The sequence below is a fragment of the Homo sapiens genome, chromosome Y, assembly GCF_000001405.40.
Source record: "Homo sapiens chromosome Y, GRCh38.p14 Primary Assembly".
In the NCBI taxonomy this organism is placed as follows: domain Eukaryota; kingdom Metazoa; phylum Chordata; class Mammalia; order Primates; family Hominidae; genus Homo; species Homo sapiens.
In genome coordinates, this window is record NC_000024.10 from 16,402,026 (window position 1) to 16,416,062 (window position 14,037).

The window sequence follows — 14,037 nt, forward strand, 5'->3', positions numbered from 1 at the left end:
GAGTCACCTTTCGATTCGTTTATCAATTGTCTCTGCAAAATTTAAAGAAAGAAGCAATCTAATACTCCGTTAGAAATATTTATATTTATATGTGTGTTGTGTATCATTAAATATGTTTATAGTTGGCTGGGCATGGTTGGTAACACCTGTAATTTCAGCACTTTGGGAGACTGAGGTGGAATGACAACTTGATGTCACAAGTTTGAGAGCAGCCTGGACAACATGATGAAAGCCCATCCCTACTAAAATACAAAAATTCACTGGACGTGGTGGTGCACACCTGTAATCCCAGCTACTTGGGAGTCTGAGGAAGGATAATTGCTTGAACCCAGGAAGCAGAGGTTGCAGTGAGCCGAGATCAGGCCACTACACTACAGCCTGGTCCAGAGAATGAGACTCCACCTCAAAGATCCAACTAGAAAATCTACCACACATTTATTCCTCAATGTTAGGCATTTTCACCAAGCAAAACTACATCAGAAAGACAAGCAGGACAATGTATGTTATGTTATCTTGTGAACACAAGGTAATTTACTATGACAGCAAGGATAGTAATAAAACTGTTTAATGTAGTTGAACAGGTGAAGACAGTCTAATAATTTGCTAACTTATAAACAAACATGAAGAAGATACATTAGGTTAATAAAACCTGTTTGTATAGATAAAGTACAATGTTACTATATTCTTTAGCTAGGTTATCACTGATTATGACTGGTTGTATAGTCTTTGTCCAGAAATATTTCTTAATATCATCACTACTTACAGAGACTTCTGTTTTAGCATATTCTTTACATAAGCCCTTTCCTCATGTATCGTGAATCTTTAAACGCATGGTTATTGACATGGTTGTTCGACAATAAAAATATTTAACCTCACATTTTAGAAGAAGTTATCATAGACTTTTAACAGAAAGTGGAGTGAATCCATCTGAAGACTGTACTTAATTTTCAAACTCAGGATATACAATAAACATCCTTTGAAAACTGAAGTCCTAGAATACATGTATGAGATTTTACTAAAGACCTAATTTAGCAAAATGAAATTGCATTTTCTAAGTGTAGGTTGCATAAACAAAAAAGATTGTCTGCAGACAATCTTTATTTTCATATTTCCACACTATGCTCAATGCATAAAGTATGGTCAACCATAGCAAATTATGGCATTAAACCCAAAACATTCTCTGGCAATGAGAATAGCATGATCGAGGGAATCTGAAAACAGGTTGTTTGTGTAACTTTGCTTTAATTCCATCGTATTTTCTTTCTGCCTTTACATTTTATTCTCTTCTGAGCATGTGAAAAATTCTGTAAATTCAAGTGTAAATTATGGTATAGGCAATTGTAAATTATAAGCATATTTAAATTTTATATTTGTACATATGTGTGTATATGTATACACACATGTGTATTGCATATTATGTACTGTTTACAAAATAAATCTATCGTATATATTTAAGGTATACAACATGATGTTATAAGTTACATACATATAGTAAAACATTCACTATGATGGAATTAATTTACATATTTATCATAACATGTTACTCACTTCACCCCTCTGGCAAGATGAGTTATAATCTACTCCTTTAGTAGAAATCCTACAAACAATAGTGTTATTACTTATAGTCCATAGGCTGTATATTAGATCTTTAGATTTATTCATCCACATATTTGCTACTTTATATCTTTTGATGTACATCTTACCATTTCCTACTTGTCACCCCATCCCTAAGAACTACTGTTTTTCTCTTTATGACTATGTATCTGAACATTTTTTAAAATGCCATTAAATATTCTCTTTTTATTTTTCTTCTTTCTTACTAAAAATGGTAATCATATTTGTAACAGAATTTCTTTCTTCTCCCTTCAACCCTGCCTACTTATCTCACATAAACTCTTAACTTCAAATTTGCGAACATCTTTAAATGTCCAATAAAATGATTTACACTGGTATAGCAGTAGACAATAGAAATATTGGGGCCAATCAATTTAACATACCTGGTAGTTTATGAACTTGTCTGAAGTGTTTGTGGCCTGGTGCCATAAAGAAATAGCACCCGAACATAAATTTAATCTATTTAGTAAGGCAATTTTTACTTCCTGTAAAAAGGGTATACACTCTCCAGCAGTTTTGTCACGAGAGTACACCGAACAAAGGTGACAGGGTCATTTATATCCTGATGCGTCCATCCTACTGCCGTGTCCAGTCTCCATCAGCTGGAATGTGACCTCACATTCTGTATTTGTCCCGATTGGCCAGCAACTTGCAATGTTTTAAAAGACACAAAGGTATAGGAGAACAAAGGAAGGAGGAAGTAACTTGTGAGATGTTGAGAAAGTTAAAAACACTTTTAAATAAGGAAGAAGAACACACTATGACCTAACGCTTGCTTGGACCAGTATAAGCATGCCAGGGCAAATATTTATGCTAAATTGTGGGAGCTAAGAACATAAAATACATTGATTCATTATGGTTAGCAGACATTTAAGAATGTTAGCACAGGTCTTTGAATAAATATTGCTTCTAAGAGAAGTTACTATTTATTCCTAAATGGGGAGGAAAGTCTTTGAAGAGGAACCTCTACTTTACTTCTTACAAACTTGAAGTCAAGTCCACTCCCATGAGCTTCAGATTGTCTTCCACTAGCAGCTGCCTGAGGCAATTTTGGGAAGCTCTTTCCAGCAAAATCAGCAGCTCTTGGTGACAATAGGTGGCCATTGAACTCTTTGCAACATTTCCAAGGAATAATTGCTCAAGCCAATTTTGTCCCATAAGGAGCTGACTCTGTTTTCTGCTTGAGAGTGTTTCCCATGTCTCTGAAATTTTATGCACCTTGTTGTTCAGTCCTGTTGAAAGATCGGGAAGCCAACTTCAGTAATATTTTGTGCTATATGGTATATTCAACTTTTTCTTTAACATGTATACACCTATTACTGCTAAACTTCCAATAGCATCGTCTACATTTTGCATACATAAGATACTTACTTTGGATTCTTTGCTATGACTTACTTAGTGAAAGTTAAAAAGCAAATTGACTTATTTCTGACTCATGGAAAGAAAACAATACCAGTGTCTTTTGTTAAAAATTATTGAATTCCAAGGTAAAAAAGTGGAAAACTATTTTGATGTGTGCTATGTTAAAAATAATCAGCCAGTTCCCATAGACCATCTATATAGGAAGGATCTATAATGAATAAGGGATATAGGAAGGTGTTGAAGACACAAGCTGATTAAGTCACTGAAGAAAACCTCCAGGGGACTTTGTAAATGTTAACAAGGTAAGATGATTTTATAGCATTGATTTAATAAATGCATACTGAGGATTGTTGGGTGGTTTTGCCTGGGTTTCGTTTCTAGTGTATCCAGGCAATTCCTAAATGCCATCATAGATTTTTTTATTATTATACTTTAAGTTTTAGGGTACATGTGCACAATGTGCAGGTTAGTTACATATGTATACATGTGCCATGCTGGTGTGCTGCACCCATTAACTCGTCATTTAGCATTAGGTATATCTCCTAATGCTATCCCTCCCCCCTCCCCCCACCCCACAACAGTCCCCAGAGTGTGATGTTCCCCTTCCTGTGTCCATGCGTTCTCACTGTTCAATTCCCACCTATAAGTGAGAATATGCGGTGTTTGGTTTTTTGTTCTGGCGATAGTTTACTGAGAATGATGATTTCCAATTTCATCCATGTCCCTACAAAGGACATGAACTCATCATTTTTTACGGCTGCAATAGTATTCCATGGTGTATATGTGCCACATTTTCTTAATCCAGTCCATCATTGTTGGACATTTGGGTTGGTTCCAAGTCTTTGCTATTGTGAATAGTGCCACAATAAACATACGTGTGCATGTGTCTTTATAGCAGCATGATTTATAGTCCTTTGGGTATATACCCAGTAATGGGATGGCTGGGTCAAATGGTATTTCTAATTCTAGATCCCTGAGGAATTGCCACACTGACTTCCACAATGTTTGAACTAGTTTACAGTCCCACCAACAGTGTAAAAGCGTTCCTATTTCTCCACATCCTCTCCAGCACCTGTTGTTTGCTGACTTTTTAATGATCACCATTCTAAATGGTGTGAGCTGGTATCTCATTGTGGTTTTGATTTGCATTTCTCTGATGGCAAGTGATGGTGAGCATTTTTTCATATGTTTTTTGGCTGCATCAATGTCTTCTTTTGAGAAGTGTCTGTTCATGTCCTTCGCCCACTTTTTGATGGGGTTGTTGGTTTTTTTTTTTTGTAAATTTGTTTGAGTTCATTGTAGATTCTGGATATTAGCCCTTTGTCAGATGAGTAGGTTGTGAAAATTTTCTCCGATTTTGTAGGTTGCTTGTTCACTCTGATGTTAGTTTTTTTTTTTTTTTTTTTTTTTTGGTGTGCAGAAGCTCTTTAGTTTAATTAGATCCCATTTGTCAATTTTGGCTTTTGTTGCCATTGCTTTTGTTGTTTTAGACATGAAGTCCTTCCCCATGCCTATGTCCTGAATGGTAATGCCTATGTTTTCTTCTAGGGTGTTTATGGTTTTAGGTCTAATGCTTAAATAATTATACAGTTGTGTAAATAAGAGTGATTTTAGATATTTCAGACAATCCAGAGCCACATAACTTCCCAAAAGTGAGGCTCTGGGACATGATAATACTTTACCTCCTCTTCCAGGCTCCATTGCCAGGGGTAACAAGAAAACTTTTGAAACGCAGACAGCCCTAACCTGCGGCACTCATGTCCTGGCTCCCACTGTGGCCTGGCATTCCATTTCTCTGTGTTTATCAGTCATACAATAGCAGTAGCTTACAGGTCATCACGCTTCACCTCCTGGACTCCAATAATCCATGGAACCCATCTGATGATTCATCTCCTTCCTGTATACAACCTCTGAAATTTTCTCATTGCTTCATGGAATTATGGAGATCTTGTTACTACTGCTTCTCAAACCCTCCCTCAAGGACATCACCTCCCCTGCAGTTATTTAAGATTCTGGGTTAAGTGGAGGGGTCATAAGAAGAAATGCCTTAAAGCCTTGGACTCTTAATGCTGGAATTAGCTTCCATGTTTGCCTTGTTCAAATTTCCACCTTCAGATCATTTGTCCTCTGGCTTCTTAAACCACCCAGCTTCGGATGTCATGGCATCTGATTTTATCAATTTCATCATTTTATGATCTTATGATATCAAATTATATCAACCTCCTATACTGACACCCAACTTAGTACCAATTATTTCTCAACATTGTTCCTCCTTCTTAATTTTCATCATCTCCTAATGAGGTTATTCTTTTTTGTTTTCTTTTGAGACAGGATCTAATTCTATGGCCCAGGCTGGAGTACAGTGGTGCAATTATGGCTCACTACAGCCTGGAACTCCTGAGGGCAAGTGATCATCCTGCCTCAACCTCTGGAATAGCTGGGAATACAGGCATGCACCATGATGCCCAGCTAATTATTTTAATTATTTTGTAGAAACTGGGTCTACTATGTTACCCAGGATGTTCTCAAACTCCTGGCCACAAGTGATCCTACCACCTCAGCCTTCTAAAGTCTTGTGATTACAGGTGTGAACCACTTCACCAAGCCCTAATTCTTGATATTAGGATATATACATGTAATTTTTCAACACACTCACCTCTCAAATTCTCTAAAATCTTACCTCCAATACATTTTTCTATATTTTACCTAATTTCTTACGTATTATAAGTTCCAATAAGTACCACTCCTCTATAATCTTAATAGCACAACTTCCCCTTTCTAATAACTCAAGTATTTGCAGCACACCACTACATTTTACTGAAATGCATCTTCTTTTCTTTTTCCTATTTCCCCACTGAAATCACATTGCCAAACCTCACAATCACTCCCACGGGGATTCCCTGAATCTCTTGCTTCCTTCTTGCTTTCTTTTAGACTGGGTTTTAACCACAATTCTGGCTAAATAAAACTCCACCTACACTCCATTGGCCTTCATCTGTGCACACAAATAACCATACCAGCTGCTCAGACTTTATATTTGTGATTAATTAGCTCCAAGTTGGGATTCCAGGAGCTGTTGCTATACTTTCCCAGTCTATGAATACTTTAACTCCTTCTGAGAGCTGTTTTATAGTTTCTTTTCCTGGAATTCCAACACTTTTCTCTGCTAATCAGGAGATTAAGTTCTCTTTCATCAAGAGTAGGGAAGGGATGAGATACAAGCTTCCATGGGCTTCCACCTGCACATGCATCAAGCTACCGACATCTCAACCTACACACTCTTCCCTGTAGTTTCTTAATGTGGATGAGTGGTACATGTTTTCCTCTAAACATAATCCCTTTATCTGTGCAATAGATTCTCTCTTCTCTTTTCCTTTCAAGGATACAGCTACTTAGCTCTTGCCCTAGTGAAACCTTTCCATCCAACAAACACATACATTTGTCATATTTTCTATAATTGTAAAAGAAATTATCTTGATCTTTGCTATGGTAAGAATTTTTGTGTCTTCTGAAATGTTTATGGTGAAATCATAAACCTCAATGCAATGTGTATTAGTCTCTTCTTATGCTGCTAATACCCAAGACAAGGCAATTTACAAAGGAAAGAGCTTTAACTGACTCACAGTTCCACATGATTGAGGGGTAAGGCTCACAATCATGAAGAAAGGCACATCTTATATGGTGGCAGGAAAAAGAGTTTCTGCAGGGGAACTCCCCTTTATAAAACCATCAGTTCTCATGAGACTTATTCACTATCACGAGAACAGCATGGGGAATACCTACTGCCATGATTCAGTTATCTCCACTTGGTCCTGCCCTTAACATGTGGGGATCATTATCATTCAAGGTGAGATTTGGGTAGGGACACAGCCACACCATATTACAATGGTATTTGGAGGTGGGGGCTTCATGTGGTGATGAGATCATGAGGGTGAATCCTCATGAATGGGATTAGTATCCTTATAGAAGGCACCTCATAGAGCTCCCTTGCCTCTTCCACCAAGTGAGGACACAGTAAGAGGAGCAGAAAGCAAGTTGTCACTGAATCTGCCATGTCTTCATCTTGGACATCTCAGGCCCCAGAACGGTAAGAAATAAATTTCTGTTGTTTCCAAATTATCCAGTCTAATGTATTCTGTTAAAACAGCCTGAGTGAGCTAAGACAATCTCATTTTATCAGTCAGATAGTGGCACCAACCCCACTCCTTTCTTTGTGCTCCTATATCAGCAAAATTCCTCCATGATAGCTGTGTCTCCTCACCATGCCCCTGTTTTTTCCACCTGCCATTCTCTTTTAATAATGTCCATTCAAAATTTTCTACTACCTTTCTGAGAAGTTATGTAAAGGTCACTGATAACGTCACAGTGTTGAATTCTATTTTCAATTCACAATCTCTATCTTGAAATGACTTGTCACTTCTGCATACTGGTCTTTAGGACAATACACTGCCTTGCTTGTGTGTGTGTTTCTTTTCCTACTATACCCATTGCTAATTCTCAGTTTGCCATTTCCTTTGCTTTTCCCTGATATTGTTAAATTCTGACTCAGTCTTTTACTGACATTCACTCCTTTCATACAGTGGGATGCCATTGAATGTCATCTACATATCAGAAAGACTCATTTTTTAATCCCTCTGCTACAAACTTATTTTCCAAACTCAATTTTACATGACTAAGTTCACCCTTGAAAAGCATCGGTTTGAACCACATGAGTTCACACATGCATGAATTTTCTTCTACTTCTGACACCCCTGAGACAGCAAGAACAACCTCTTCTCCTTTTTCTCTTCCTAATCTTCCTCTTCCTCAGCCTACTCAATGTGAAAACAATGAAGATGAAGACCTTTATGATGATCCACTTCCACTTAATAAATAGTAAATATATTTTCTCTTCCTTATGATTTTCTTAATACCATTTTCTTTTCTGTAGCTTACTTTATTGTAAGAATACAGTATAGCAGTATGTAATGCATAGATCATACAAAATATGTGTTTATTGGCTGTTTGTATTATCAATAAGGCTTCTGGTCAAAAGTACACTATTAAGAGTAGAGTTCCGGGGCAGTCAGAAATTAAATGCAGACTGTTGATTGTGAGTGGGGATCCGTGTCCCTAATCTTTATGTTGTTGTAGGGCCAAATTTACTTAAAATAATTAAATTTGCTTAGCACCATTTTTCATGGCCTCCAAAAAATTGCCAGGTGTCATATGAAAGTTTCCTTGTTATTTCTGAGTATTTTCTAATTTCCATATTTATTTTCAGTTGGTAAAGGAACTACTTAGAACTTTCTTTCTTAATTTCAAACATTTTAGCGTTTTTTTCTAGTGGTGAAACTTTGTGTTCAGAGAAAAAAAGTTGTTGAAGTTATTGAACTTTGCTTTACAGCCCAGGATGTGGTCTGTTTGGTGGTCTCGTCAGGCCTCTGAGCCAAAGCTCAGCCATTATAGCCTCTGTGACCTTCACATATACATCTAGATGGCCTGCAGGAGCCAAGAAGTCTGGAGCAGCTGAAAAACCACAAGAGAAGTGAAACAGCCAGCTCCTGCCCTAACTGATTGACCAACCTCATGACATTCCACCAACTTATGACATTCCACCATTATGACTTGTTTCTGCCTTGCCCAAACTGATCAATTGATCCTGTGACATTCTTCTCCTGGACAATGAGTCTCATCATCTCTCCACCAGGAACCATGTGACCCCCTCCCCTACTGAAAACAGACAACCACCTTTAACTCTAACTTTCCACTGCCTACCCAAGCCCTATAAAGCTTCTCCTCTCCTATCTCCCTTCTCTGACTTTCTTTTCAGACTCAGCCCACTTGCACCCAACTGAATAAACAGCCTTGTTTGCTCACACAAAGCCTGTTCACGTGGTCTTCTATATGGACACGTGGACATATGCCCAAGTTGGTCAGAGTACAGTTTGGCTTTACACACTGTAAGGAGATGGGAGACATCAATCAACATATATGTAAAATAAACATTGGTTCAGCCTAGAAGGGTTCAAGTCGGGAGGGGTCTTCTAGGTTGGAAGTAGATAGGAGATAAATGGTTGCATTCTTTTGAGTTTCCGATTAGCCTCTTTAAAGGAGAAAATCAGATATGCATTTATCTCAGTAAACAGAGGGAAGACTTTGAATAGAAGGGGAGGCAGATTTGCCCTAAGCAGTTCCCAGCTTGACTTTTCCATTTAGATTAGTGATTTTGGAGCCCCCCAGATAGTTTCCTTCCACAGTTATTATTTCACATGTTCTAAAGAATGTGTATTTTACACTGTGGATGTAAGGTTTTATAGATTACAAGACTAGTTTACTAATCATGTATTCCAATTTTAAATATTTATAACCTTCTACTGATTCTTTGTCTAGTTATTTTATCAGTTCCCTAGAGAAGTTTGTCAAATCCCCTATTATGTTATGGGTTTCTCTAGTTTCATTTTTTGAGTTTCTGCAGCTAAATTTCCAAATGGCACTTATTAATTCAGAATTTGAGTAACTTTTGCTGTTAAGTAACGGCATTGCTGCTGATTTTGATTCTTTGAAAGGACTGCAGTTGGACTTAAAATCAAAGGAAGAAGTTTGGTAGGGGAAATAAGCAAAGAAAAAATGGTGCTTTGAGGAAATGGCTTCCTCTTTTACACGTGCTAGAATTTGAAAGGTTTCTATGGGAGGGGGAAGAAGAGAGTTGTCCCCTAGCAAGTCTGCCATCTGTCACCCTTGGAATGTGTGCAGATGATTTCAGACTCTGGGAAAGCAGCTGAATATTATTATCTTCCTGGTACAACTGATGCACTGATAAATTATGAAATGAGCATAAATAGCTGGTGCCAAATGTGATATAGTCTAAACATCCATTATAACTTAGCTGCAATTATTTTCACAGTGAGACTGTGCTGCCTGTGCTTTTTCCAATTCTGTAAACTTTCCAGGAATTTTATCTTATGTCCCTGAAAATGTTTGAGCATTTCACTAGGAGTTCCTTGAATTCCCATCCCATCACTAGCTTCTGCGGATGCAAACCCTCATCTACAATTTGTTTCCACTATATTTCCATGCAATCAGTTTCTCCCATGTTTTATACTTCTTACTCCTCAAGCTCAGAGACAATTTAAACAGAATACTCCTCTTTCTTTGAATTGTCATTCTGATCACAACTGGTTTAGTGACATGGCTGCAAAGTAGGTATACAGTTCTTGAAACCCTGTCTTCTTTATCTTCACTTTTTCACTACCACCTTGTTAAGCACTGTCATTCATAAAGCTTTGTTCAGATAATTACGTTTTTAATGTAATAACTTGCAATATTGACTGGAGAAGCTAGCTAGGTTTCCTGGGTTGAGTAGGGGCTCAGAAAGCTGTGAAACTCACTGATTTCCTGCATTAGGAATTGTTTCCATCCTGGATGGATAGTATTGAAGATATATGCTTAAACTATTCCTAACACCAGGATTTGTGCATGTGTTTTCTTCCCCAAGAAAGCTATAAACAGGAACAATTTTGCTGTAAGTTTTCCTGTGTCCTCTCTCCCTCTCTGCCTTCCCCCTCTCCCAAAACTAAAGTAAAAGGAATGTTAGCTGTCCACTTTTCTGTGACCAGCAGACCTTATCTATGCTCTCAATTCCAATTCCTTGTAAACATACTTTGTAAAATCCTGTAAAATCCTGTCTCCTTTGCCATGCTGTGGCAAGGTCATAAAGTAGATAAAACCTAAGTTGCACGTATTTTCCACCTTATGGAGTTTAAAAGGCATTCATATACTCTAATTCTGGCTACACATTTGGGATCCCTTCCATGCTGTGGAAGCTTTATACTTTCACTCTGCTCAACAAAACTTACAGCTTTTTCTCTCTATCGGGCCATGTCACTATCACTTGCCCAGGTTCAGCCACCACACCAATTCTTTGGCATGGCTAGGCAACAACCTTAGCTGTGACATTTCGGTGAGCCAGCCAGGAGGCTCCAGGAAAAGCACCTAGATCTTCAGGTGGTGGGTATGATTGGACTTATTTCTCTTGCTATTCTGTTGTATCCTTCCTTAGAATTAGGAGGATAAAAACCAGTTGGCCACTTAGAGGCAATTAGCATGGCCACTGGACTAAAGACACGGATGTCAGGCTGTCTGGAAAAGGGCTCTCTAACAACCCACGACTCTTTGGGGTTGGGAGAATTTGTTCCCAGTTTTGCTTCCCATGGTGGTCCCAAAGTACAACTGGGAGTGCTCAGTGAACATCTTAGTCTCCCAGATACCCTGGTTGAGACCATGGTCCCACCAGAGTCTACCCCTGCAGAGGTTACTGAGCATGAGACATCTTCTGACTCCTGCCTCCTGGGTCCTTATGTCCAATGGCTAAACTTCTTTCCTCATCTCACAAGTAGGTTATTCCTGCTAGGCAGGATCAAGATTCCCTATTTAGAAGTCTTAAATTCTTGGGGTGGTGCCCAGAAGACCTCTGTTCATGTTGCCTCTGGGATTTAGGCAGGTGTCACCATTTGATGGCCACTTTGAAAGGCCAGTCCCCCATCATAGTGTATGGCCACCCACATCAGGACAATTTAAAGACAGGTCTGTAATTTTCATGTGGATAGTAGAAGCCTTAGGGCATTTCCACCATTGCTCCCCAGATAGGCTTTCTCCTACCTGGGGCCACTCAAGGACAATCTGTTGTGCATAGGCAAAGTCTTAGAGTTGTTGAATTGTTGTTTCAACCATTCAATAATTGGTAATGGAAGGGTGAATATACGGTCAGTTTGGACACATGATACTAGTACCACCTTGAAAGGGGGGCTTACTACTTTGATGGCAAGTGGGGACAGAAGGCTAGAGTACAGCAGCTGTTCTCTCGGCCCTGGCCTAGAGGACATCCACCACACCCTTAAAGCTTCTTAAGCCTCCTGTTGCTAATTCAGAGATTTCTCCTTGAAGGACAGTTTTGATGACCAGGCCCACATAAATTGGGCCTTAGCATGCAAGCATCAGTGGTGCCCCGACCCAGGCCTTGTCACCCTGGAAAAGGTAGGATGTGTTGGAGGAAGGACCACAATAAATCCAACAGTCCTTGTGCCCCATTTAGTGGTCAATGGGTGCATGGCAGGGGCAAAGGAAGTTTCCATCCTGCTGGTAAGCATGGTTAAATCCGGCAGGCGGAGGGCTCAGGAAATGCAGCCATGAGCTTTGAGCACAATAGGACCTGACCCTTGGGGGACACCCTAAGAGAAGAAGAGTCCCAGTACTAACCAGGGGTGTGGGCATCTCTGTGTGTAAAATTCCAGATGGGCTCCATACCTTCAAAACTGGACACCCCCTTAAGATGTATCCTGAATAACTGGGACAAATTCAACCCTGAAACCTTACAAAAGAAGCAGCTAATTTTCTTCTATACCACTGCCTGACCATGGAATTTCTTACAAAATGGAAAAACTTGGCCCCCTGAGGGAAGTATTAATTATAATACCCTTCTACAGCTAGATCTTTTCTGTGAACAGGAAGATAAATAGAGTATAGTCCCTTATGTACAGGCTTTCTTTGCCCTTCATGACAATACTGCCCTGTGCCAAGCCTACAAGCTTTGCCAAAATGACAAAGGCCCACAGTTACCTCCATACTCACAGCCTCTTCCCTCAGCCCCACTCTCCTCCCCCACTGACTCTCCTCCATCCTGCCCCACTGAAGTGGTAAAGAGAATGTAAACTCCCCAAGCCAGGCACCCAAACTATGTCCCTTACAAGCAGTAGGAGAGGAATTTGGGCCCTTCCTTGTACGTGTCTCTTCACACTCTCAGACTTAAAACAAATAAAGTCAAACTTAGGGAAATTCTCAGATGAACCTGATAAGTATATAGATGCCTTGCAAGGATTAAGGCAGTCCTTTGATCTAACATGGAGAGATATAATTTTACTTCTTGATTAGACATTATGTCCTACTGAAAAGCAAGAAGCTTTAACAACAACCTGGCAATTTGGGGATCCGTGGTACCTTAGCCAGGTAAATGATCAAATGGCCCAGAAGGTGAGGGAAAAATTCCCCACAGGGCAAAAGGCAGTCCCTACTGTAAACCCTCACTGAGATACTGACTCAGATCCTGGAGACTGGAGCCACAGGCATTTGCTAAGTTGCATTTTGGAAGAGTTGAGGAAAACTAGGAAAAAGCCTATGAACTACTCAATGCTATCCACAGTTGTGCAAGGAAAAGAGGAAAACCCCTCAACTTTTCTACAAAGGTTAAAGGAGATCCTAAGAAAGCACACCTCCTTAGCTCTGGATTCCATGGAAAGCCAACTTATCATAAAGGATAAATTTATCACCCAGTCAGTGACTGACATTAGGAAAAAACTCCAAAAGTCTGCCTTAGGCCCAGAACAAAATTTGGAGGCATTATTGAACTTGGCAACCTCAGTGTTCTATAATAGGGACCAAGAGGAACATGCCAAAAGGGAAAAGCGATATAAGAGAAAGTCTCCAGCCTTAGTCATGGCCCTCAGACAGGCAGACCTTGGCAGCTCAGAGGGAACCAAAAGAGGAGTAGGACAGTTGCTGCCCCCTTACCCATGTCCAAGATGCCAAGGTAATCACTGGAAGTCACACTGCCCCAGAGGATGAAGGCCCTCTGGGCCAGAAGCACCCAGTCAGGTGATTCAGCAACAGGACTGAGGGTGCCAGGGCAAGCGACAGCTCAGGCCATCACCCTCAAAGAGCCCCAGGTAAGTTTGAACATTGAGGGCCAGTAAGTGGACTTCCTCCTAGACACTGGCCCTGCCTTCTCAATTTTAATCACCTGCCCCAGACGACTGTCTGCAAAGTCTGTTACTATCCGAGGAATCTTAGGATAGCTTGTAACCAGGCATTTCTCCCAGCTCCTCAGTTGTAATTGGGAGACTTTGCTCTTTTCACATGCCTTTCTTGTTATGCCTGAAAGTCCCACACCTTTATTAGGGAGGGACATATTAGCCAAAGCTGTGGCTATTATCTACATGAATATGGGGAACAAATTACCCCTTTGTTGTCCCCTACTTGAAGAATGAGTCAACTCTGAACTCTGGTCCTTGGATGGACAATTCAGAA